The following is a 24,018-nucleotide window of genomic DNA, read 5'->3' on the forward strand; positions in this document are numbered from 1 at the left end:
GGTCCCATAAAGCAAAACACGCCCCCAGAAGCTTTGCGCAGGGAAGGTAGATAGGAGTCACGCCCCTCCCCCATTGTCATCGCCATAGAAACAGGTTCCTGTTTATTCAGATGACTGTCTGTTTAACTGTTTCAACTCCACTTTGACTTGGAAAAGTGTTCTGGGATACTGACATTGTTTTATGATTCCCATCTTTGACTACCTTATTCTAGCACCAAATGTTAAACATGCAGCCCATTAATGCTTGAGCTTAGCTTTGTTTTCAGAATCTTCTGCCGGAAGCTTCTAGCTTCCTTCCAAGCTCTGGGGACAGAGAGGAGCCTCCTCTTTTGTGGAGTGTATTCAATGTGTGTGTATATATATATACATACATATATATTTTTTTCATTTAATTTTTTTTTTTAACTGTGACTAGTTCAGGATGACATTTTACAAAATCCCCCCGTTTTTTTTTTTTTTTTTTTTGGTCTGTTATTGTTTCTGGAAAGGAAAGTTTTATTTCCTTGTTTATTCTGTGTCTTCTCCTCTCTCCTGTATGTTGCATGGGGGCAGGAATTTTTGTTAGTTTTTTCTCCCTGTTCAATCTCCCATAAACAGCTGCTGATTGAACAGTGGCTTTCCCAGGACAAGGGCCCGTGGGACTACATTCAATGGTTTTAACTTGAATGCAGAATAATTTTTTTTAAGAGATTACCTTTTATTTCATTTTTTATTTATTTATTTTTTGGGGGGGACGGAGTCTTGCTCTGTCACCCAGGCTCGAGTGCAGTGGCACCACCTTGGCTCACTGCAAGCTCCGCCTCCTGGGTTCATGCCATTCTCCTGCCTCAGCCTCCCAAGTAGCTGGGACTACAGGCACGTGCCACCACGCCTGGCTAATTTTTTGTATTTTTAGTAGAGACGGGGTTTCACCATGTTAGCTAGGATGGTCTCAATCTCCTGACCTCGTGATCCTCCCACCTCGGCCTCCCAAAGTGCTGGGATTACAGGCGTGAGCCACTGCACCTGGACAGATTTTATTTTTTAAAAAAATCTTTAGTTCAAATGTATGCCAATACTTTTAAAAGCCAGGTAATATTAAGAGACTGTTGTTCTCAATCACCTGGCATACAGAAAGTTCTGGAATATTCATATTCCCATTATACAGCTGAACCACTGCTGGAGTCTTGTCTTTTGCTGCCATAAAGAAACAGATATGGAGTAATATGTGGTTAAGAGCAGAGCTCCACTAATTTGATATCTGACTATTAGTCACATGTCATTTTGATTCTGAACATCATCTGTGACTAGAAGATAAAATTAGTTCCTTTTTTTCTATGTTTTTATGATACTGTGTTTGGTTCCTAATGTTCTGAAAAATGCTAATGTGTGTTTTTCATAGAGCAACCTAAAATATATTTCCTTTAAGAAAACAACAGGCTCAGCCCAACTGTAGGAATTATATTTACTCTGTAAATCAAATTTGTTGCCAGCCTCTGCTTCTGTGGTCAGAGAGGGAAACAATTTACTAACTGTAATAGTTACTTCCTCATTTTTCAAGGGGTGTTAATTTTATGCCTGCTGATGGCTGCAATTTTTCTCAAATGCAAACATAGAGTCAAATAATTTGACATTTGTCAAATATTTTACATTCTAGTTAGAAAACATAAATCGTTTTCTTTTAAAAACCCAACCTCTAAAGCTGCATGTTTCTCCAAGTCAGTAGTGCCTTCATTTTATGAGGGAAATGAAATCAATCATCCCTGGATAATCAAGAATTAGGACAGAATTGCTCCTGACAACCCTGACATGGTAACACCAAAACAGCTCCTCCCTGACACCTGGCTAAATAGTGAGGGGGGTCAGCCTGGGTCTGTGTCTCTTGGCTGGGGAATATTTCCTGTGCTATGGGGTCTTGGATTCCTGCTCATTCTTCACAGCTGCTTTACCCACACTGCTGTGGCCACTGTCTGCCATTGGTTACTCCCCTCCTTCCTCTGTGGAACGGCTGCCTCCACTACTGCTGAGCTGTGAATAAGTCCCAGGTGTTTGCCTGCTTGTTTGTCTTCATCTAACCTAGACTTTAGGTTGCATGAAGGCAAAAGAGGTGTCTCTCCTATTCATCTTTGTATACCCAGCACCAGTACCAAGCAGGTGCTCAATAAATGATTGTTGACTGATGAGGGAATAACTCACCATAAATTAGCAGCAAGCAGTCATGTATTTTTTTCTCACAATAAAATGCACTTTTAAAAAAATCAGCACCATATGCACATATATTAATTTCTCATGCAATAGTTTAACAGTGAGAGTCTAAGGGTAATTGCTTCACCATATCTGTTGCTCTTGTTGGGGCTCAGAAAATTATACCCCAGAACGAAGGCCTCAGAAGCAAAGTTTCTCTCTGACCTTCTCCTGCCCTCCTGTCTCTCATCCTTTATAGTCCCCTGAGGCAAGTCATAGAAACTAGAAGAAACTAGAATTTCTCTCCCCCATGGTGGGTCATAGAAACCAGAACTCCCTTTCCCCAAAGCAAGCATAAAGACCAAAAATGTTACTCTAACCTTCTCCCAGCTTTCTGTGTAATAGCTGGCCATAAACAAATTAAGACCCTCATTCCAGAGGGGTCCTGCCCCCATTCCTGGAGAAAGGAATGGCACACAGAGAAGCCAAGAATATGAGCCCACACTTCCTGGGTTTCCTCCTCAGTCTATCACGTTAGTCCTTGGGGGAAAACCTTTGGCCCGATCACATTTCTACATAGCTGTCCATTCTTTGTTTAACCTAAGCATAAAAATTGATATTTTCCCCTGTATTTTTGGGTCTTCATTCCAAAGGCTCTCATGTTACCTAAAACTGTGATCAAACACATTTGTTGGACGGGCGTGGTGGCTCACGCCTGTAATCTCAGCACTTTGGGAGGCCAAGCGGGGCGGATCACAAGGTCAAGAGATCGAGAACATCCTGGCCAACATGGTGAAACCCTGTCTCTACTAAAAATACAAAAATTAGCTGGGCGTGGTGGTGTGCGCCTGTAGTCCCAGCTACTTGGGAGGCTGAGGCAGGAGAATTGCTTGAACCTGGGAGGTGGAGGTTGTAGTGAGCCGAGATCGTGCCACTGCACTCTGGCCTAGGCGACAGAGTGAGACTCTGTCTCAAAAAACAAAAAAACACATTTGTTATGCTTTTTTCTTGTTAACCTTTTCAGCCCCTATACTGTCTGCCCCGCTGTTGGCTTTATTTGACTGATCTGGCGGTTTAAACAGGTGTTCATTTCTGGACCATGCTTCTGCCACCTCCCCCTCACTCTTCAAGCTCCAGCCATACTGGCCTTTCAGTTCCTTAAATGTGCCAGCCTCTTTCTTGCCTCTGGCTCTTCCGACTTTTTCCTCAGCTTGGAAGTTTCTCTCTCTTGACCTCCTTATTTTGGCTAACTCTCATCATTCTTTCAGAATTCAGCCTAAATGTCAAATTCCTCAGAGTTGCTTTCTCTGATGCTCTGATATCAGTGATCTCCCGTGTTCCCCTAACACTCTGTTTTTGAATTCTGCATAGCACTTATTATTTTATCACTATATAGTTAGCTGACTTTTTCGTTTATTTGATGCCTGTCTCCTTCATTTGGCTGTTAGTTTCATAAGAATAGGGTTGAAAATTTAGTGCCTAACACCTAGTGGGTGCTCAATAAATATCTGTTGAATGAATGAATTAGTGACTGAATAAATAGAATGAATAAATGACCTAACAGCTCAATGTGTGTTAAAAGTGGTTTTGTTGTTGTTGTTGTTTTGTTTTTTTGTTTTTTGTTTGGATGGCAGTATAGACACAATATAAATTAAGCAATGAATACATTGGAGCAAAATTTAGAGTACCAACATCAAGAGATAGTGTGGTATTTCATTTCAGGTTATCTCACTTATTATTAATTACTACTTAATTGGGAGTCGTGTTTCCTCATCAGTTTTTAGAAAAAAGTTTAAACCAGCTGGGTGCGGTGGCTCACGCCTGTAATCTCAGCACTTTGGGAGGCCAAGGCCGGCGGATCACGAGGTCGGGAGATCGAGACCATCCTGGCTAACACAGTGAAACCCCGTCTCTACTAAAAATACAAAAAGAAATTAGCCGGGTGTGGTGGCGGGCGCCTGTAGTCCCAGCTACTCAGGAGGCTGAGGCAGGAGAATGGCGTGAACCCAGGAGGCGGAGCTTGCAGTGAGCCGAGATGGCACCACTGCACTTCAGCCTGGGCGACAGAGCAAGACTCCATCTCAAAAAAAAGAAAAAGAAAAAAGAAAAAAGAAAAATGTTTAAACATACGCTTTATGGTTTGTGAACCTTCACAGTACTCTCCATTTCCACAACACTTTTCACTTTAGCAATAAAAAATTTGTGTACATAACTTTTCTTCAACTTTATGTGTAAATTCAGAAGTTAATGTATATTTAAAATTTATTATTATACCTTTACTTCCAAGTAAAATTTGAGGCCACTATCATACTAAGACATTTTTCAAACATCAGACAAATAAGTTCATATAAAGATTAAGGCAATAGTTAGGCTTTTAAGAGAAGAAAATCGATTACTACAGAACTCTAATGTTGAGGCCAGGCACAGTGGCTCATGCCTGTAATCCCAGCACTTTGGGAGGCTGAGGCGGGCTGATCATGAGGTCAGAAGATTGAGACTATCCTGGCCAACATGGTGAAACCCTGTCTCTACTAAAAATATAAAAATTAGCTGGGAATGGTGGTGCGTGCCTGTAATCCCAGCAACTCAGGAGGCTGAGGCGGGAGAATCGCTTGAACCAGGGATTCAGAGGTTGTGGTGAGCTGAGATCACGCTACTGCATGCCAGTCTGGTGACAGAGCAAGACCCTATCTCAAAAAAAAAAAAAAAAAAAAAGGAAAAAAAAAAGAAAAATACAAGAAATTAGCCAGGTGTGGTGGTGGTCACCTGTATTCCCAGCTACTTGGGAGGCTGAGGCAGAATTGCTTGAATGGGGGAGGCGGAGGTTGCAGTGAGCCAAGATCACTCCACTACACTCTAGCCTGGGCAACAGAGCCAGACTCTGTCTCAAAAAAAAAAAATCTGATGTTGAATCATTAGTGTAATTTATATGTAAATATGATTTAGATTTAACATAAATTTAGCAATATAGCTATATATTTTAATTTCCTCGTAGACAAGACCAAAAAGGAAACAGAATGGGTTCTAGAGGTCCCGTTAAATATTATAAAAGAAACATACAAACAACAAACAAAACCCCTCAGTATTCCAAACATTGTGTGCCAGGTAGGAATTCTGTTCCAGGAGGAATTCCTTGTAGGGATTCATACAGAGCAGAGAAGGAGTTGATAGCGCAGTAAGCAGTACCTTTAAATTTTGTTTTATGGAAGATATTAGGTTGGTGCAAAAAGGTCTACAAGGATAAGGAAAATGTGGCACATATGCACCATGGAATACTATGCAGCCATAAAAAAGAATGAAATCATATCCTTTCCGAGGACATGGATGAAGCTGGAAGCCATCATTCTCAGTACACTAACACAGGAACAGAAAACCAAACACCGCATGTTCTCACTCATAAATGGGAGTTGATAAATGAGAACACATGGGCACAGAAAGGGAAAAACACACACCAGAGCCTGTTGGGGGTTTGGGGGTGAGGGGAGGGAGAGCATTAGGACAAATACCTAATGCATGCAGGGCTTAAAACCTAGATGACAGGTTGATAGGTGTAGCAAACCACTATGGCACGTGTATACCTATGTAACAAACCTGCACATTCTGCACATGCTTAAAGTAAGGTAAAATTTTTAAAAAGGTCTATGAATGGCCATTTCCTGCATTAACCTTTGATGGATTCTGAGAGGATAATATTAAACTTCCACGAAGGCATTTCAGGGAAGAGTTAAGATAATAAGTACATGTTGCTTTCTGGTGAACTAAGCTAAAAGAAAGGCAAAGTTTATTAAGAAAAGGGACAAGTAGAGGTCAACATGTCCTTATCAAACATCATGTATAGTAATAGAACTAAAATAAAGCAGAAAAAGTTATTTCCCCTATGCCTCCTACTCAAGTTTCCAAATTGAGTTTCTGGGTTAAGTAGGGTATTACTCAAATCTAATTTTGGTTATAATTACATTCTGAGAATTATTTGCAAAATATACCAATACCTACACCATAAACTGACCTGTTAAGTGGAGTTTTTAATTTATTGTCTCTGTAGATTTGAAATATGTCTCAAAGTATTTTAGTATAGCTTATCCTAAGGTGAATCTTCAGACCATAAGTAGATAATGAGTGCAGCTGCTTTCCAACTGCCCTCATAGATTTTAATACAAGTATGTCAAAAAATGAAAGATAACTCTTACATCCTGTAATGGACTTTTCATAGAAGAAGGTAGTTTTTCTGGCTTCCTATCATCCGTGCATCATTATGGTAACAGGAATTTGTGGAACCAATCTCTACGTTGCATTCTCTGATTGGTTCAGACATTGTCCAGCCACCCAATCTGAGTCAAGCAGGTATGCTGACATTCGCTGATTTCTGGGAAAAGGTCTGCTTCCCAGCTGAACAAGAAGCCTCATGGAATGGAATGCCTAGTGCAGCTGCCCTATTTTGCTTCCATGAAGAGCCAAAGACAGAGAGCGGCACAGGGGAAGTCTGAGTAAAAAGACAGCTTGATGACAGCTTTTGAGCCCTCGATCCAGCCATGTTTGGAGAAATATCATTTTTGTTTAGGCCAATTTAGGTTCATTTTTCTGTTACATGCAACCAATATATATCTAACTAAATATCTAACTAAAACATCTTCCTATTCAGAAGGAAGAATACTTATGTTTAACTAAGATCTGAATAATATCTTTTACACATGCACATATACACATATAAGTTGAAAAGACTAAAATATACTCAAGTTCTAAAACATTTAAAATTAAAACTCTGTCTGTCACAATGTCACTCATTCATTCTCATTCTGCCAGAATGTTAGATACTGGCTGGAAAAAAAAAAATTCAAAAGCTGGTTTCTATACCAAGATCCCACACATGGGAAAAAACACAGGAAAAATGTGTGAATACCAACATGATTATGACATTAATTTGACTACTTCGTGAGACTGAAAGGAAAAATAAAACAGTGTCCAGTGGTCAGATGGTTGTGTTTTGTGTTTTTTTCCCCCTTGTAAAAGATTGAGAAATCCAGACCTGAAGTCTGAAATCTGTCCTACACTTTCAAAGGAGGAGAGAGCCAATGTATGCATTTGTAACTTAGAGGAACAACAGAGTTATTTTTTGTGGATAAGATTGATTCTACACAGAGTTCAATTTGAAGAAACTATGCCTAAGACATTAAAGAGAGCAAACAGTTGATCGGGATTGAGATTTGCTACTCAGGATAGTTTCTAAAGAACTGCAGGCAGAAGATTCTCTCTTGAGTCTCCATTCCTTTTCAGGTGACTGAGTAGATACCATCATCCAGCTATAAATGTTTGTTCAAATAAATTATTGCGTGGGAAGAGTCCTTGGAGCTATACAATAAGGAGAGATTGTTGTAAGCCTGCAAAGTTGAGTAAAATAGCTCAGCTGGTCAGAATTGGAATTTGTACTTTCATGGTGCTCTTGTAAAAGCCATAGCATAGGCAACCGTGTCCCCAAATCTATGCTCATTATTGATCCTATTCTCTATATCCAAGACCTTTCATTCTAGCTCTTTTTAAGGAAAATGTAGATTAAATATTTGAATTTAATACATTTCAATTTAACTATAAAATTGATAGTTATGTATATAACTTATAAATTGCACACTTAGGTACCTCTCTGTAACTTTAAGCTGTTTTGTTTTCTCTCAGATTAATGAAAGTTCCTGTTGAAAACTTGTCTTCAGGCCAGGCTGGGTGGCTCACGCCTGTAATCCCAGAACTTTGGTAGGCCGAGGAGGGTGGATCACCTGAGGCCAGGAGTTCGAGACCAGCCTGACCAAAATGATGAAACCCCGTCTCTATTAAAAATACAAAGTTAGCTGGACCTGGTGGATCATGCCTGTAATGTCAGCTACTTGGGTGGCTGAGGCAGGAGAATCACTTGAACCCAGGAGGCGGAGGTTGCAGTGAGCTGAGATCGCACCACTGCACTCCAGCCTGGGCGAGAGAGCGAGACTCTGTCTCAAAAAAAAAAAAAAAAAATGGAAATCAGGATTTTTTTTTTTTTTTTGAGACAGAGTCTCACTCTCTCTCCCACACTGGAGTGCAGTGGCGCCATCTCGGCTCACTGCAACCTCCGCCTCCTGGGTTCAAGCGATTCTCCTGCCTCAGCCTCCTGAGTAGCTGGGACCACAGGTATGTGCCACCACTCCTGGCTAATTTTTTGTATTTTTAGTAGAGATGAGGTTTCGCCATGTTAGCCAGGGTGGTCTCCATCTCCTGACATCATGATCTGCCCACCTCAGCCTCCCAAAGTGCTGGGATTACAGGTGTGAGCCACCGTGCCCAGCCAAAAACTTGTCTTTAATAATAATTTAATTAAGATATAAAATGTTACTTCTCAAATAGTGGAGAAGCTTAAATGCCAATTAGGATTTTTTAAATATTGCAGCCATTTAAAAATTGAACTGTGACTTAATATTTGATGCTCTTTTGGATGAAATGAAATCATCCAGGAAGAGAGCTAGTTTTAGATACTGCTGGATTCTGTGCTTAGAGAATACCACTAGGGTCCGTTTCTACGCGCTGCACTGTGGTCCATAATGCTATTCAAATTTACGTTATTCTACTTTCAAGTTCTGCAGAGGGGGAATTGCCTCCTGCAGCTTCTTCATAACTCTAGGGGTTCCCACACTCTCTCTCTCTGGCTCAGACTGGGTCAATGTGCTCATCCCATCCTTTAAACAATCATAGTGACTGCGGCCTGGGTGGGTGGAGGTGAGCTCTTTCGCGTAGGCTCCACCTCATAGTAAAGAGGAGTCACCTTTTCCTAAGCACATGAACTGGGGATGCGGTTGTTCATCCAAAGCAAAATTGGGGTATTGTTACCAACATGAGGAAGAGTGGATATCCTGGGCATAAAGAACAAATGTCCACCCTAAGGTAGAACTCAGATGTTCCAGCAGCAGAGCTGGTCAGAATTTGAGGTCAACGATCTCTAGACCTCTTCATGAAATTCTTTTTTCTGATATAGAACTTTAGAAAAGAAGGGTATAAATATCAGTTGAGATATGAAATATTGTCATATCATTGCTATGGACTAAATTGCATTATCTCTCCCGTTACTCCCAATTCATATGTTGAAGCTCTAACTCCCAATATGATGGAATTTATTGGTGAGGATTTGGAGGTAATTAAGATTAGACGAGGTCATGAGAGCGCGATTAGTGGCTTTTTTTTTTTTTGACGGAGTCTCATTCTGTCATCCAGGCTGGAGTGCAGTAGCACGATCTCAGCTCACTGCAACCTCCACCTCCCGGGTTCAAGCGATTCTCCTGCCTCAGTCTCCCGAGTAGCTGGGACTATAGGCGCCTGCCGCCACGCCCTCCTAATTTTTTGTATTTTTAGTAGAGATGGGGTTTCACTGTGTTAGCCAGGATGGTCTCGATCTGCTGACCTCATGATCCGCCCGCTTTGGCCTCCCAAAGTGCTGGGATTATAGGCGTGAGCCACCATGCCCGGCCCTAATGGCTTTTTAAGAAGTGGAAGAGTAAGAACTTTGACTCTCTGTCATGTGAGGACCCAGGGAGAAGGCAGTTGACTACAAGCCAGGCAGTAGACCCTCACCAGACACTGAATCTATTGGCACCTTGATCTTGGATTTCCCAACCTCCAAAACTGTGTAAAGTAAATGTCTCTGATTTAAGTCATCCAATCTCTAGTTTATTATAGTACCACAAGCAGACTAATACAATTGTGTTCAGGAAATGAATAATTCAAAGAACTTGTCTTCATAGCCCAGATATGCTTTTGGTATATAAAGAGTTATTCTAGTAAAGGTCGTCAAGTGTTTCTATTGGAAGAACATTCAAATGTAAAATGTTTGGCCAGGTGTGGTGGCTCACACCTGTAATCCCAGCACTTTGGGAGGCCGAGGCTGGTGAATCACCTGAGGTCAGGAGTTCAAGACCAGACTGGCCAACATGGTGAAACCCCGTCTCTACTAAAAATAAAAAATTAGCTAATGTGGTGGCATGCGCCTATAGCCCCAGCTACTCAGGAGGCTGAGGAAGGAGAATTACTTGAACCCGGGAGGCTGAGGTTGCGGTGAGCCGAGATCACGCCACTGCACTCCAGCCTGGGCGACAGAGTGAGACTCCATCTCAAAAAAAAAAAAAGAAAATATTGTTTTTCAGTGTTCAATATATTTTCTCACATACCTGTCTAGCAGTGGTGTCATGCAACTCAATCTGTATCTTACGGACAACCACAAAGCATCTTGATTTGGAAATATATACACCACATATTTGTGTTGACAATATTATCCAATCATTTGGAAACATAATTTATGAGGAAACTAGAGGTCCTGCATTTCAGCCATTTTGTCAACGAAGTCTCTACCTCAAGTAGTTCACTAATGAGGAGAGAGATTTATTTCTCAGTATCAAGTTTATGACATGAACGTCTGTTTTACAGCAATATTTACCTGTTCTTTTTTTCATCTTTAATTCTTGGACTTCATATAAAAAGGACAAAGTAAATCACATAGTCAAATTGGCTGATTCCGCATAAGCTCAGAGAGAAGAGTTCTATTTCAGAAAAATAATTTAATTCTAAATCTGTGTCTGAAGAAATATCATCTGTAAACTTTAGCTGGAAAGTGTTCTAAGAATATAGAGATATTCCCCATGGTCTTGATTGTGTTCATCCTGAAAGATTCAATTTAATAAGAGAAAGGTTTGGGTCTTTTGAAAACAGTAAGAAAATCATTTATCAGAGTTTCTATTTTCTCTGGGCAATTTTCACCATTTCAGCATACCCAAGAGAGAAATGACGTATAATTTTGTTATGCTGAAGAATTTGGCAAGCCAGCTAATGGTCTTACTAAAAGTGAAGAAATCCCTTTGGTGACAGATGCAGGAAGTTATGTCTGAATCATTTGGAACCATTGTAGAGAAGCCTTTGTTCCAAAAGAGATGTGTGGGGATTTTCTTGGGAAGAAAAGGTGTCTGAATATTCTTAAACCTCGAACAGATTTATCAAACTTGCTGCTTCATTTAATCCTTTGCCAAATGGGCTCATCTTCCATCCAACAGACTTCTCCCTAGCCATCTTCATCTTTCAAAAAGTCACCCTTAAAACGCATCTTGTGTTTCTTTCACTGCTGTGATGATGAAATCTGTCTCAAAAGAAGCATGTCGGTGTTGACTTCATAATCTTAGAGGCTGTAACATACAGGGAAGGCTGTTACTTAGAAACATACTCTCAGAAAGGTTTTTTGGAAGTTTTTAGGGAGGGGGCGAAGAAGAACTAGGGACAGGTAGATGGTGAATAGAATAACCTGAAGCCATGAGTCAAGGTCAACAGCAACAATAAGTCAAAGCAAGATCACTGAACATTGGTGAAAATAAAAAGAAGTGGAATCAGACTACAGAGGAAAATGAGTAAATTTAGTATCCAGAACTACTCTTAATGGGAAGTCCTATTAGCTTGTCTCCCATCAGAGTTAGGTGAAGTAATAATCTCCAAAAGGTGGGGCTGTTACCTCTGCAGGCGTTTAGAACTGGTCTGAACAAATCACCTGCAAGCTTTTTTGTGGTGGAAGAATGCTGTAGAACGGAGCTGTGAAAGCAAGTATAATTTCTTTTCTGACTCCCTCTGACTTTCACTTAATCATGTACAGGCAGTTCAAAAATCCTGCTGCCTCTTTCTTGCCAATTTCAATACAAATTCTCTCTGGCCAGAAAACTGATCATTTGGTATATAACCTTTTTTTTTTTTTTTTGGTTGGTTCCTCAGTTTCTCCACAACATCACCTGACATTCTGCTACATAAATAGCTATAATTTTAAATAAAATGAGTCAAACGCTAGTGTCAGGCCTTTACAAAGGCTCTCTCACCCTTTAAGATCGCTATAATCCCTCTTTTACATAAAAGGCAATAATGTTCAGACTCTAAGCTAGTGAGTTGAAACGCAAACTCTGAACCATCTCATCAGAAAAAAAAAAGAGCATAGGTTTAGAGTCAAATGAACTCCTGTGTGAATTCTGGCTTAGCATGCCTATTTCTGTCCCAATCTATTCTATAATCTCCTTTATCCTTGTAGTGGAATTATTTTAAATTCTATCTTGAGACCCTTGTCTGGGAGCTTATATGATTCATTCCATCATTGCCCAAATGAGATAGACCAGGAGGCTGGATCCTCCTCTTAGTAGGGGTGGATGCTTTTTTAGTGGCTGTAAATGGATCAGTCCATGACTTAATTGTGCATGAAATAGAGATTTTTAAAAATTTTCTATAACCAAATTTAATTTCTGTCATAAATGCTAAATTTCTACCTGGTAATGACAAATTTAATTCTTCTAATTCAGGATAAACCTAGCCAAATTAGGATTTTTAAGACATTGTTTCAGGGTAAAATCATTCAATTTAGGCTTCTTCCCCCAAATTTCAATTAGCCCAAGTGGCATCTAACTTTAGGGAGGTGTTACGAATTAGGTAACCCCAAGTTATTTGCATTTCTTCTTTTCCTGAGAGTGGAAGTAGCAAGGTATAAAGTGTTATAATAATGGCTAGTAATTTGCAAAGAGGTAAGATGATCTTACAGGAGTAAACCAGCTTGCTGGAAATGAGTATTTTCAGTTAAGGGCCAAAATTGTGTAGCACGAGCTCCCAGAAAGCCCCTGGAATTGTGCCAGCAGACACGGCCATGAATTTGGCAGTGGCTGCTGTAGCCGTGAGGCAAGGTAGGCCTTTGCCACAGGATCAAAAGACAGACTGTAATAAGCTATGGATTTTTGGTGCTTTCCTTGTAATTAAAGCTATTAGAGAATCAGAATTTTATTTAGAAGCTTCTTTATTCCAATCAAAAAAGATAGTACATTCAACATTAGGACTTTACTGTCCTAATGAAGAGAAACTTCATTTGCTCTAAGAACACTGTAAGATGGACAATTTTGGAAACATATGGAATTCTCCCAAAGTGGCCAAATCATCATCGGTGAACTAGTGCCAGTTTGTGAGATGTGTGCAAGCATTTGGATAATAATAAAGAAGCAAGTGTCTGGACTGGCAGAAGTGCACACTTGAACTGAGATTACCCCTGGAGAAATGATCATGGTCAGTTGAATGTGTTGGTTCTGCATTTTGTGTCTTGAGCCACTAACCAGTGGCTGGCCACCCTTGACAAGAGACTTGATAATTTGTGGCCCTCAGCAGATAGAATTTTTGGATATTCTGTCTTTCATATTAACTGTCAGTTGTAAACACAGAACAGAGGAAAAATGGACCTTGTACGTTTTTTTGTTGGTGACTTGAAGTAAATTTCATTTACTGGGGAACATAAGCTTGACAAAATTTTTATTAACAGCTTTATTGAGGCCAAATTGACATACAATAAAATGCACATAATTAAACTATAAACCTTGAAAAGCTTTGACATTTGTATACACCCAGCATAATAATCAAGATAATGAAAATATGCATCATAAGTTTCCTCATGTCCGTTGGTAATACCCCCTTCTTCTCCCTGCTCCCCATACCTCTGAGTCCCCAAGCAACCACTGATCTGTTTTCTAACACTGTAGATTAGTTGGTGTTCTAGAATTTTACATACATGGAATATAGTGTGCATTCTGAGAAAAAATATATTTTTTTTCGCTCAGCATAATTTTGAGATTCTTCCATGTTTTGTGTGAGTCAATAGTTCACTTTTTGCATTGATTTGTATTCTGTTATATGGGCATACCAAAAATTGTTTATCCACTCACCTGAACATAAACATTGAAGCCTTCTTTCCCTAGGTTTCTGCTGTTATAAATAAAGCTGCTATAAATATTCATCTACAAGTTTGTGTGTATAGATACATACTTTGTTTTCCTTTAAGTAAATATCTAGGAGTGAAATTGCTGCGTCATATGGCAGGGATATAATTTCCTTTTTAAGAAACTGTCAGTTGCCCCATCGTGCAATGTGGTGCGGCAACCAAGCCAGGGCTGCTCCATGAAGAGGAAGCAAAGACGGCTTGCCAGGACAGTGATGGAGAAGAACAAAAAGGCAGGATCGCCTCAATAAAAGGAGGGTGGCTTTGCCAGTTTGTAATTTAAAATACTGAAGCACAGTCTTTGAAGCAACAAGGAAATGCACACTATGCCAAGGAAGATTACAACGAAGCTTATAACTATTAAACAAAAGCCACAGATATGTGCCCTAAAAATGCTAGCTATCATAGTAATAGAGCAGCTACATTGATGATACTTGGAAGGTTCTGCGAAGCCCATGGAGATACTTTCACAGTGAAATTGGATGATGGTTTCTTCTGGGGACATCTACGAGAGGGCAAGTGCCACCTCTCTCCAGGGAATGCCATGGCAGCACATTGCAGTTTTCAGAGAGCCCTAGAACTGGATCATAACAATGCTCACTCACAACAGGAGTTCACAAATGCTAATGCAGTCAAGGAATAGGAGAAAGTCATAGAAACAAGTTTTGAGAAGTGGGCTTTTCAGAAGGTTGTTTTCTGCATGGACTATGCCCTAGAATTTGCCCCTGTCTGCCATCACTTCAATATCCCTCAAAGCAGAATGTTTAGCAATGCTGGGTCGTTATCCAGAAGCACAGTCTGTGGCCAGTGACATTTTATGAACGGATTCCACCAATGTGGATGCTCTGTATGTACGCGGACCTTGCCTTTATTATGAAGATTGTACTGAGTAGGCAGTTGTTCAGTTTTTTGTACAGGCTCTCAGAGTGGTTCCTGACCATGAGAAGGCCTGCCTTGCGTGCAGAAATGCCAGAGCACTTAACGCAAAGAAAGAAGACTGGAATAAAGCGTTTAGGGAAGGAAATTACAAACTAGCTGATGAACTGTACGCAGAACCCCCGGGGTAGACCCCGACAACATAAAAGCAATTGCTAAACTCTACTGTAACCGGGATATGGTTAATTCCGAGCTTGGGAAACTAGATGATGCAATAGACAGCTGCACAAATGCAGTGAAGCTCATGACACTTACATAAAAGCCTACTTGAGAAGAGCTCAGTGTTTCTTGGACACAGAACAGTATGAAGAAACAGTGCGAGGCTATGAAAAAAGTATATCAGATGGAGAAAACAAAAGAATACAAACAGCTCCTAAAAAATGCACAGCTGGAACTGAAGAAGAGTAAGAGGGATAATTACTACAAGGTTCTGGAAGTGACAAGAATGCCTCTGAGGACAAGATCAAGAAAGCTTATTGGAAACAGGCCTTGAAGTACCATCCACATCGTCATGATGGAGCCAGCGCTGGGGTTCAAAAGGAGGAGGAGAAGATCAAGGAAGTGGCGAGGTCTTTATCATCCTCTTTGATTCCAAGAAAACGATTCATTATCACAGTGGGCAGGACCTGGATAAGGAAGACATAAATTTGGGTGATTTTGATGCAAACAATATCTTCAAGGTATTCTTCCGCGGTCCTACGGGCTTCAGCTGTGAAGCATCTGGTCCAAGGATTTTCTTTCTTCGATTGGGCTCATGAAAGGCAACCATCCAGAATCCAGAAAATGCAGAGTCGCTCAGTTTAAATGTAATCAGCAGATCATTTCTATTAAGAGAGGAATATTTAAATCTCAAACCATAATTTGTCTGCCTCTCCTGTAGATCTATCAGTTTTTTGCTCAATGTATTTTATTATTAGGTGCATAAATGTTTAGATTTGTTTATGACCTTTTATCATTATGAAATAAACTTGAAAAATCCCATGTAATATTGTTGGCTGTGAAATCTATCATGTCTGGTAGTAATATAGTCACTACAACTTTCTTATAGTTAAGGTTAGCTAGATTATCTTTTTCTGTCTTTTAACATCTAACGTGTGTGTGTGTGTGTGTGTGTGTGTGTGTGTGTGTGTGTAAATGAATAACACCAAAAACAGTTACTTTGAGAAAATCAGTGAAATTGGTCAATCTCTGGCTAGACTGATCAAGAAGAAAGAAAATATATATGGAGAGAGAGTACATTTCTTATATGCAGCATATAGTTTGGTCTTCTGTTTTTTTCTTTTCTTTTCTTTTCTTTTTTTTTTTGAGACGAAGTTTCACTCTTGTTGTCCAGGCTGGAGTGCAATGGCGCGATCTCAGCTCACCACAACCTCCACCTCCTGGGTTCAAGTAATTCTCCTGCCTCAGCCTCCCAAGTAGCTGGGATTACAGGCATGTGCCACCATGCCCAGCTAATTTTGTATTTTCAGTAGAGACGGGGTTTGGTCAGGCCGGCCTCGAACTCCTGACCTCAGGTGATCCGCCAGCCTGGACCTCCCAAAGTGCTGGGATTACAGGCGTGAGCTGCCGCACCCGGCCCTGTGTTTCTTTTCTGTTTGACAATCTCTGACTTTTAATTGAGATGTTTTGACAAAGTTATATTTAATGTGATAATTGATAGATTCAAGTCTGTCATCTTGCCATTTGTTTTCTGTTTGACCCATCTCTTCTTTTTCTTCCCTTTTCCTCATGTCTTTGGTTGAAGAACTTCCTTTGATATTTCTTTTTTTTTTTTTTTTTTTTTTTTTTTTTTTTTTTTGTGGTGAGATGGAGTCTCACTCTGTTGCCAGGCTGGAGTGCAGTGGCGTGATCTCAGCTAACTGCAATCTCCGACTCCCGTGTTCAAGCGATTCTCCTGCCTAAGCCTCCTGAGTAGCTGGGATTACAGGTGCGCACCACCAAGCCCAGCTAATTTTTGTGTTTTTAGTAGAGATGGGGTTTCACTATGTTGGCCAGGATAGTCTTGATTGCCTGACCTTGTGATCCACCCACCTTGGCCTCCCAAAGCACTGGGATTACGGGCATGAGCCACTACGCCCAGCCTGACATTTCTTATAGAGCAAGTCTGTTGCTGATAAATATTTTCAGCTTTTGTATATGTGAAAGAGTCTTTATTTCACCTTAGTTCTTGAAACATATTTTGCTTGGTATAAAATTCTAGTTTGACAGTTTAATAATTTTTTTGTCAGTACATTAAAGATGTTGTGTGTCACTGTCTTCTCACTTGCATTTTTTCTTATACGAGATCTGCTATAGTTCTTATCTTTGTTTCCCTAAATATATTGTGATGTTTTTCTCTGCTTTACAATGTTCTATCACTTGTTTAGGAAAATTTAATTATGATGTGCCTTAGTGTCGTTTTCTTCACATTTCTTGTGCTTTGGGTTCATTGGGCTTCTTGAATATGTAGATTTATGCTTTTCATTAAATTTGGAAAATTATTGGCCATTATTTCTTCCCATTTTTTTCTGTTACCCTCTCTCTTCTTTTTCAGTGACTTCTATTACATGTATATTAGGCATCTTGAAGTTTTCCACAGCACAGTGATACATGGTTTTTTAAATGTTTATTCTTTCTCTGTTTAATTTTAGATAATTTCTATTGCTATGTCTTCATATACACATATACACTAATCTTTTCTTCTGCAATTTCTAATCTATTTCTTAAACTCCTTATATATATATATATTTTTTTTCTTTGAGACGGAGTCTCGCTGTGTCGCCCAGGCTGGAGTGCAGTGGTGTGATCTCAGCTCACTACAAGCTCTGCCTCCTGGGTTCATGCCATTCTTCTGCCTCAGCCTCCCGAGTAGCTGGGACTACAGGTGCCCACCACCACACTCGGCTAATTTTTTGTATTTTTAGTGGAGACAAGGTTTCACCATGTTAGCCAGGATGGTCTAGATCTCCTGACCTCATGATCCACCTGCCTTGGCCTCCCAAAGTGCTGGGATTACAGGCTTAAGCCACCACACCTGACCCCTTAAATATATTTTTAGGCTGGGCGTGGTGGCTCACACCTGTAATCCCACCACTTTGGCAGGTTGAGGCAGGAGGATTGCCCAGGAGTTTGAGACCAGCCTGGGCAACAAAGTGAGACCCATCTCTACAATTTTTTTTTTTTTTTTTGAGACAGAGTCTTGTTCTGTTGCCCAGGCTGGAGTGCAATGGCACAATCTCGGCTCACTGCCACCTCTGCCTCCCTGGTTCAAGTGATTCTTCTGCCTCAGCCTCCTGCATAGCTGGTATTACAGGCGCTTGCCACCATGCCTGGCTAATTTTGTATTTTTGGTAGAGACAGGGTTTCACAATGTTGGCCAAGTTGGTCTTGAACTCCTGCCCTCAGTTGATCCACACACCTCAGCCTCCCAAAGTGCTGGGATTACAGGCATGAGCCACTGTGCCTGTAATTTTTTTTAATTAGCTGGGCATGGTGACATGTGACTGTGGTACCAGCTACATGGGAGGTTGAGGTGGGATGATTGTTTGAGCTTGGGAGGTTGAGGTTGCAGTGAGCCATGATTGTGCCACTATACTCCAGCCTGGGTGACAGAGTGAGATCTTGTCTCAAAAATATATATATTGTATATATAGTGGTAAAAGAATCTACATAAAATTTGCCATTTTATCCATTTTTATGTGTGCAGTACAATGGTGTTAAGTATAATCACATTATTGTGAAACATCTAATTTGCTTCTAATTTCATCCAATGAATTTTTCATCTCATTTCTAAAATTTTCATCACTAGAATTTGATTTAGGTCTCCTCTATATCTTTCATGTCTTTACTTAACTTTTGATCATTTGAAAAACAGTTACAATAAGTGTTTTAATGTCCTTGTCTGCTAATTCTAACATCTAGGTGGTTTTCAATTGACTGACTTTTCTCTTCATTAAGGGTGGTGTTTTGCTTCCTTCATGACTGGTGATCTTTTATTTTCTTTCTTTAAATTGTGTTTTATTAGATTTGAGATCCTGATGTATGGTAATCCTTGATTGAATGCTGGGCATTATAGATTTTTTCCTTGTTTGGTGCTGGATAGTTTCATATTCCTAAAAAGACTCTTGGTCTCTTCTTGGATGGTAGATTGGAGACATTGTCAGCATGCTTCTCCTCCTTGGAAAGACACAATAGTGTGTAGTGTTTCACACTGTGAATTTTTCTCCAAGAAGCAACACAGGAACTAAACAGGAAAACTGAAAGAAACCACAGGCCCTTTGAAAGAAGTGGTGGGCTGCAGCCTACACCATGAGTCAGGTGAAAAACTAAGTCTGCAGAATCTGAAGGGGGATAAACTGCCTCCAGGAAATACACTCCCACTGGGGAACCAGTTAATCCAGTCCATGGGGGAAGGCCTTAACCCTACTGAGTGCTGGCATTGATTTAGGGATTGATGTGGCATATAAAAGCAGGGGCAGCAGTGGGAAGAGCCTTGTGTGCATTCCCAGTCTTCAGCACAGACTAAGGGAAGTGATTTTTGGTCCTACCTCACAAGGGACTTCCCAGAAGTCTGCCAACTAACTCAAGTGGTGGTTGCACGTTGAGAGAAGCTCCTAGCTGAAATTCATGATATAATTTCAAGTGGGGACAGACTCCCTTGGCCAGAACTGGGGGCAAGTGGGAAGTGTGCTATAGCCACAAGTACAGGAGCTGGGACTGGGAGGAGCATGTCCTGAAAGCAGCTGTTGCTGTCTCCACAGGGAAGGCTTATGGGCTGGGGCAGTTTTGAGTTTTAAGTGCAGATTGCCTGGAACTTAGCTAGCTGATGCTAGTGTAACACTGCAAGTATGAGAGACCTGCCTTTCTTTTTTCTTTTCTTTTTTCTTTTTTTTTTTTTTGAGACGGGGTCTCACTCTTTCTCCCAGGATGGAGTGCAGTGGAGTGATCTTGGCTTACTATAACCTCCGCCTCCTGGGATCAAGCAATTCTCCTGCTTTAGCCTCCCAGGTACCTGGGATTACAGGCATGTGCCATCATGCCCGGCTAAGTTTTGTATTTTTTGTAGAGATGGGGTTTCACCATGTTGGCCAGGATGGTCTCAATCTCCTGACCTCGTGATCTGCCTGCCTCGGCCTCCCAAAGTGTTGAGATTACAGGCATGAGCACCGCGCCTGGCCTGCGACCTGCCACCTGCCTTTCTAAGCGTGTGGGAGCTGGGTAGGCTTACTGTTGCCTGCTATTCCCCACTCCCTGTGAAACTCTTCTGTGCAACACAGGCAGCTGCACTGCTTCCTGGAATATTACCGGAGCAGCCGGAGAACTGGCCCCCAGCTCCTACTGGGGTTATTTGCCCTGCATGTGGAGAGCCAGAGCATGGACCTGCCTGACCCAGCCCCCACCTGGCTTTGCTCCACCACTTGCCCTGGTAGCTTAACACAAGGGACAGAAACTTTTGGGAGCTCTATGGACCCACCCATTGCCTGAGATTCTAGAATACCTCCCCTGAGTTACATAAGGCAAGCACAAATCCCACCACTACTACCACAGCTGACACTCTTTTGCAAGCACCACCTCCTGGCTGGAGGCCAACTGACACAGTCCATTACAGCATTCTCAGGTAGAATAACACAGAGCCCAGGAAGGAGAAAACTTGTGTGTGACCTCAGCTATCACCATTGCATGCAGCACCCTGGCTAACCAGGAGGTTCTGAGTCCGTCCACGTGACCAGTCTATAGCTCTACCCCAACAGTCAGGCAGCCCTAGCACTTGTGAAGGGTCTTGGAGAAGCGAACTTCTTTTCCCCCTAGTCCATCACTGCAGGCACATCTGGGACTTCTCCTATGGGAGCTTAGCATGGGTGCACCTATAGACAGCCTTTCTAGAAAACTTCAGGGTGACTGCATCACTCCAGGAAGGGCACCCTCCAGGTTCAGGCTTGCATAAGTGGTAGAGTTACAATCCCTCTCTACTTAGAACATCAACATTCCTGCAGATGAAAAGAGGTGCCTGCCTGATTTGAATAACTGAAACACTGGGTCAGGAGTGTGATTGGGAGGTGAAGGGCTTTCCTGCTTGCCTTGCAGTGGAGCTGAGGCAGCTCCCACTCTTCCCCCTGAAAAGACCTCAGTGCATTTCGCTGAGAGCTACCCCAGCCACCTCTGCCAAGGCTGAGACCTCTGCCCACCATTGGGTATTGCACTTACCTACCTGCTTTAGTCATGACCAGTTTCTACCCAGAGACACCTCCTCTACTGGCCTGAAGCCTGAACTATTCAACCCAATAAATAAAATACTGGAGGAAAAAATAAATGAATAAAAAAGTGCACACCATGGGGGAATGAGAAACCTCAAGAGACCTCTGCCATTCCAACCTCATAGGGGACACTGAACTTGCTCACACAACAAGCACATTGCTACCATAGCCAGCATCTGAGAAAGCCATCATACAGAGAGACTCTCTGTAACCAAGGAACAGAATCTTCATCCCTAAAGCACCAAGAGCCACATTAGGCTACAGTAAATTATAAACATTAAAGTCACATTGCTAATGGGGGGAAAAGAAATTTTAAAAAAGAGTAATATCAAAAATAAATTCAAGAATAATTACAAGAAATAGTCTACCCAAATGAGAAGAAACCAGAAAAATAATTCTGGCAATACAACAAAACAACATTCTATAACACCACCCCCTACCAAAAAATCACACGAGCTCTCCAGCAATGGATCTATACAAAGATAAACTCTTTAAATACCAGATAAAGAATTCAAAAAGTTGACTATTAAGCTACTCAAGGAGATACAAGAGAAAGGTGAAAACCAACATAAAGAAATTTTTAAAAATTCAGGATATGACTTAAAAAATTTCTAAATAGATATTTTAAAGAAAAACCAATTAGAACCCTTGGAAATGAAAGACACATTTGGGGAATTATAGAATGTAGTGGAAAGCTTAAAAATAGACTAGACCAAGTAGAAGAAAGAATTTCAGGCCAGGCACGGTGGTGGCTCATGCCTGCAATCCCAGCACTTTGGGAGACCGAGGCAGGTGGATCACAAGGTTAGGAGATTGAGACCATCCTGGATAACATGGTGAAACTCTGTCTCAACTAAAAATACAAAAAATTAGCCGGGTGTGGTGGTGTGTGCCTATAGTCCCAGCTACTTGGGAGGCTGAGGCAGGAGAATCGCTTGAACCCGGGAGGCGGAAGTTGCAGTGAGCCAAGATTGCACCACTACACTCCAGCCTGGGTGACAGAGTGAGACTCCATCTCAAAAAAAAAAAAAAAAAAAAAGGAAGAATTTCAGAGCTTCAAGATAAAGTTTCCGAATTAACCCAATCAGACAAAAATAAAGGAAAAAAAATCAAAAGAAATTATCAAAGTCTCTAAGAAATATGGCATTATGTAAAATGGCCAAACCTAAGAATAAGTGGTGTTCCTGAGGGAGAAGAGAAGGCAAAAAGTTTGAAAAACTTCTTTGAGAGAATAATTGAGAAAAACTTCCTTGGCCTTGCTAGAAATTTAGATATCTAAATACAAGAAGCTCAAAGAACTCCTGGGAGATCAATTGGAAAAAGGACATCACCAAGGCCTATAGTCATCAGGCTATCCAAAGTCAATGTGAAAGAAAGAATTCTAAGAGCAGTGAGAAAAAAGCCTCAGGTAACTTATAAAGGAAAAGCTATCAGACTAACAGCAGACTTCACAGTGGAAACATTACAAGCCAGAAGGGATCAGGGTCCTGTCTTTAGTCTCCTTGGAGAGAAAAAACTGTCACGCAAGCATTTTGTATCCAGCAAAACTAAGTTTCATAAATGAAGGAGAAATAAAGTATTTTCAGACAAGCAAATGCTGAGAGAAGTTGTCACTTAACCCAACCCACTCTACAAGAAAAGCTAAAAGGAGTTCTAACTCTTGAAACAAAAGATTGATATGCACCAGACTAGCACCTCCTAAAAGCGTAACAGTCACAGGGCCTATAAAACAATAACACAACAAAGGAAACAAAATATCTAGGTAACAATCAACTTGATGACTGGAATCATACCTCATATCTCAATATTAATGTTGAACACAAATGGCCTAAATGCACCACTTAAAAGACGGAGATTGGGCCAGGCATGGTGGCTCATGCCTGTAATCCCAGTACTTTGGGAGGAGGAGGTGGACGGATCACTTAAGTCCAGGAGTTTGAGACCAGCCTAGCCAACATGGCAAAATGCTGTCTCTACTAAAAAATACAAAAAATTAGCCAGGCACAGTGGTGCATGCCTGTGGGCCCAGCTACTCTGGAGGCTGAGGCATGAGAATTGCTTGAATCCAGGAGGCAGAGGTTGCAGTGAGCTGAGATTGTGCCACTGCACTCCAGCCTGAGCGACAGAGCAAGACTCTGCCAAAAAAAAAAAAAACAAAAAAAAAACAAAGCAAAACAAAACAAAACAATCACAGATTGACAGAACAGATGAAAAATCACAAATCAAATATCTCTTGTCTTTAAGTGACTCACCTAACACATAAGGATTCATAGAAACTCAGAGTAGAGGGATCGAAAAAGATATTCCATACAAATGGAAACCAAAAGTGAGCAGGAGTAGCTCTTTTGTTGTTGTTGTTGTTGTTGTTGTTTGTTTTTTGTAGACAGAGTCTTACTCTGTTGCCCAGACTGGGGTGCAGTGGCATGATCTTGGCTCACTGCAACCCTCTGCCTCCTGAGTTCAAGCAATCCTCCTGCCTCAGCCTCCTGAGTAGCTGGGACATCAGGCGCCCACCACCACGCTTGGCTAAGTTTTTTTGTATTTTTTAGTAGAGAAGGGGTTTTGCCATGTTGGTCAGCCTGGTCTCGAACTCCTGACCTCGTGATCTGCCCACCTCAGCCTCCCAAAGTGCTGGGATTACAGACGTGAGCCACCATGCCTGGCCGGATTTCTTAAATAACTCAAAGTTGATCTACCATTCGATCCAGCAATCCCACTACTGGGTATCTACTCAAAGGAAAAGAAGTGATTATGTCAAAAAGGTACCTTGAATGGTAATACAAAAAGGTATGTTTATTGCAGCACAGTTCACAATTGCAAAGACATGGAACCAACCAAAGTACCCGCTGACCAGTGAGTGGATAAAGAAAACGTGGTATATATACACCATGGAATACTACCCAGCCA

At 41.1% G+C, this 24,018-nt stretch overlaps 1 pseudogene; it reads left to right on the top strand.

The window, feature by feature from the left end:
* On the top strand, positions 14,232–15,692 carry LOC100129844 (DnaJ heat shock protein family (Hsp40) member C7 pseudogene; annotated as a pseudogene).

The sequence above is a fragment of the Homo sapiens genome, chromosome 6 (genome assembly GCF_000001405.40).
Source record: "Homo sapiens chromosome 6, GRCh38.p14 Primary Assembly".
NCBI classification, from domain to species: Eukaryota; Metazoa; Chordata; class Mammalia; order Primates; family Hominidae; genus Homo; species Homo sapiens.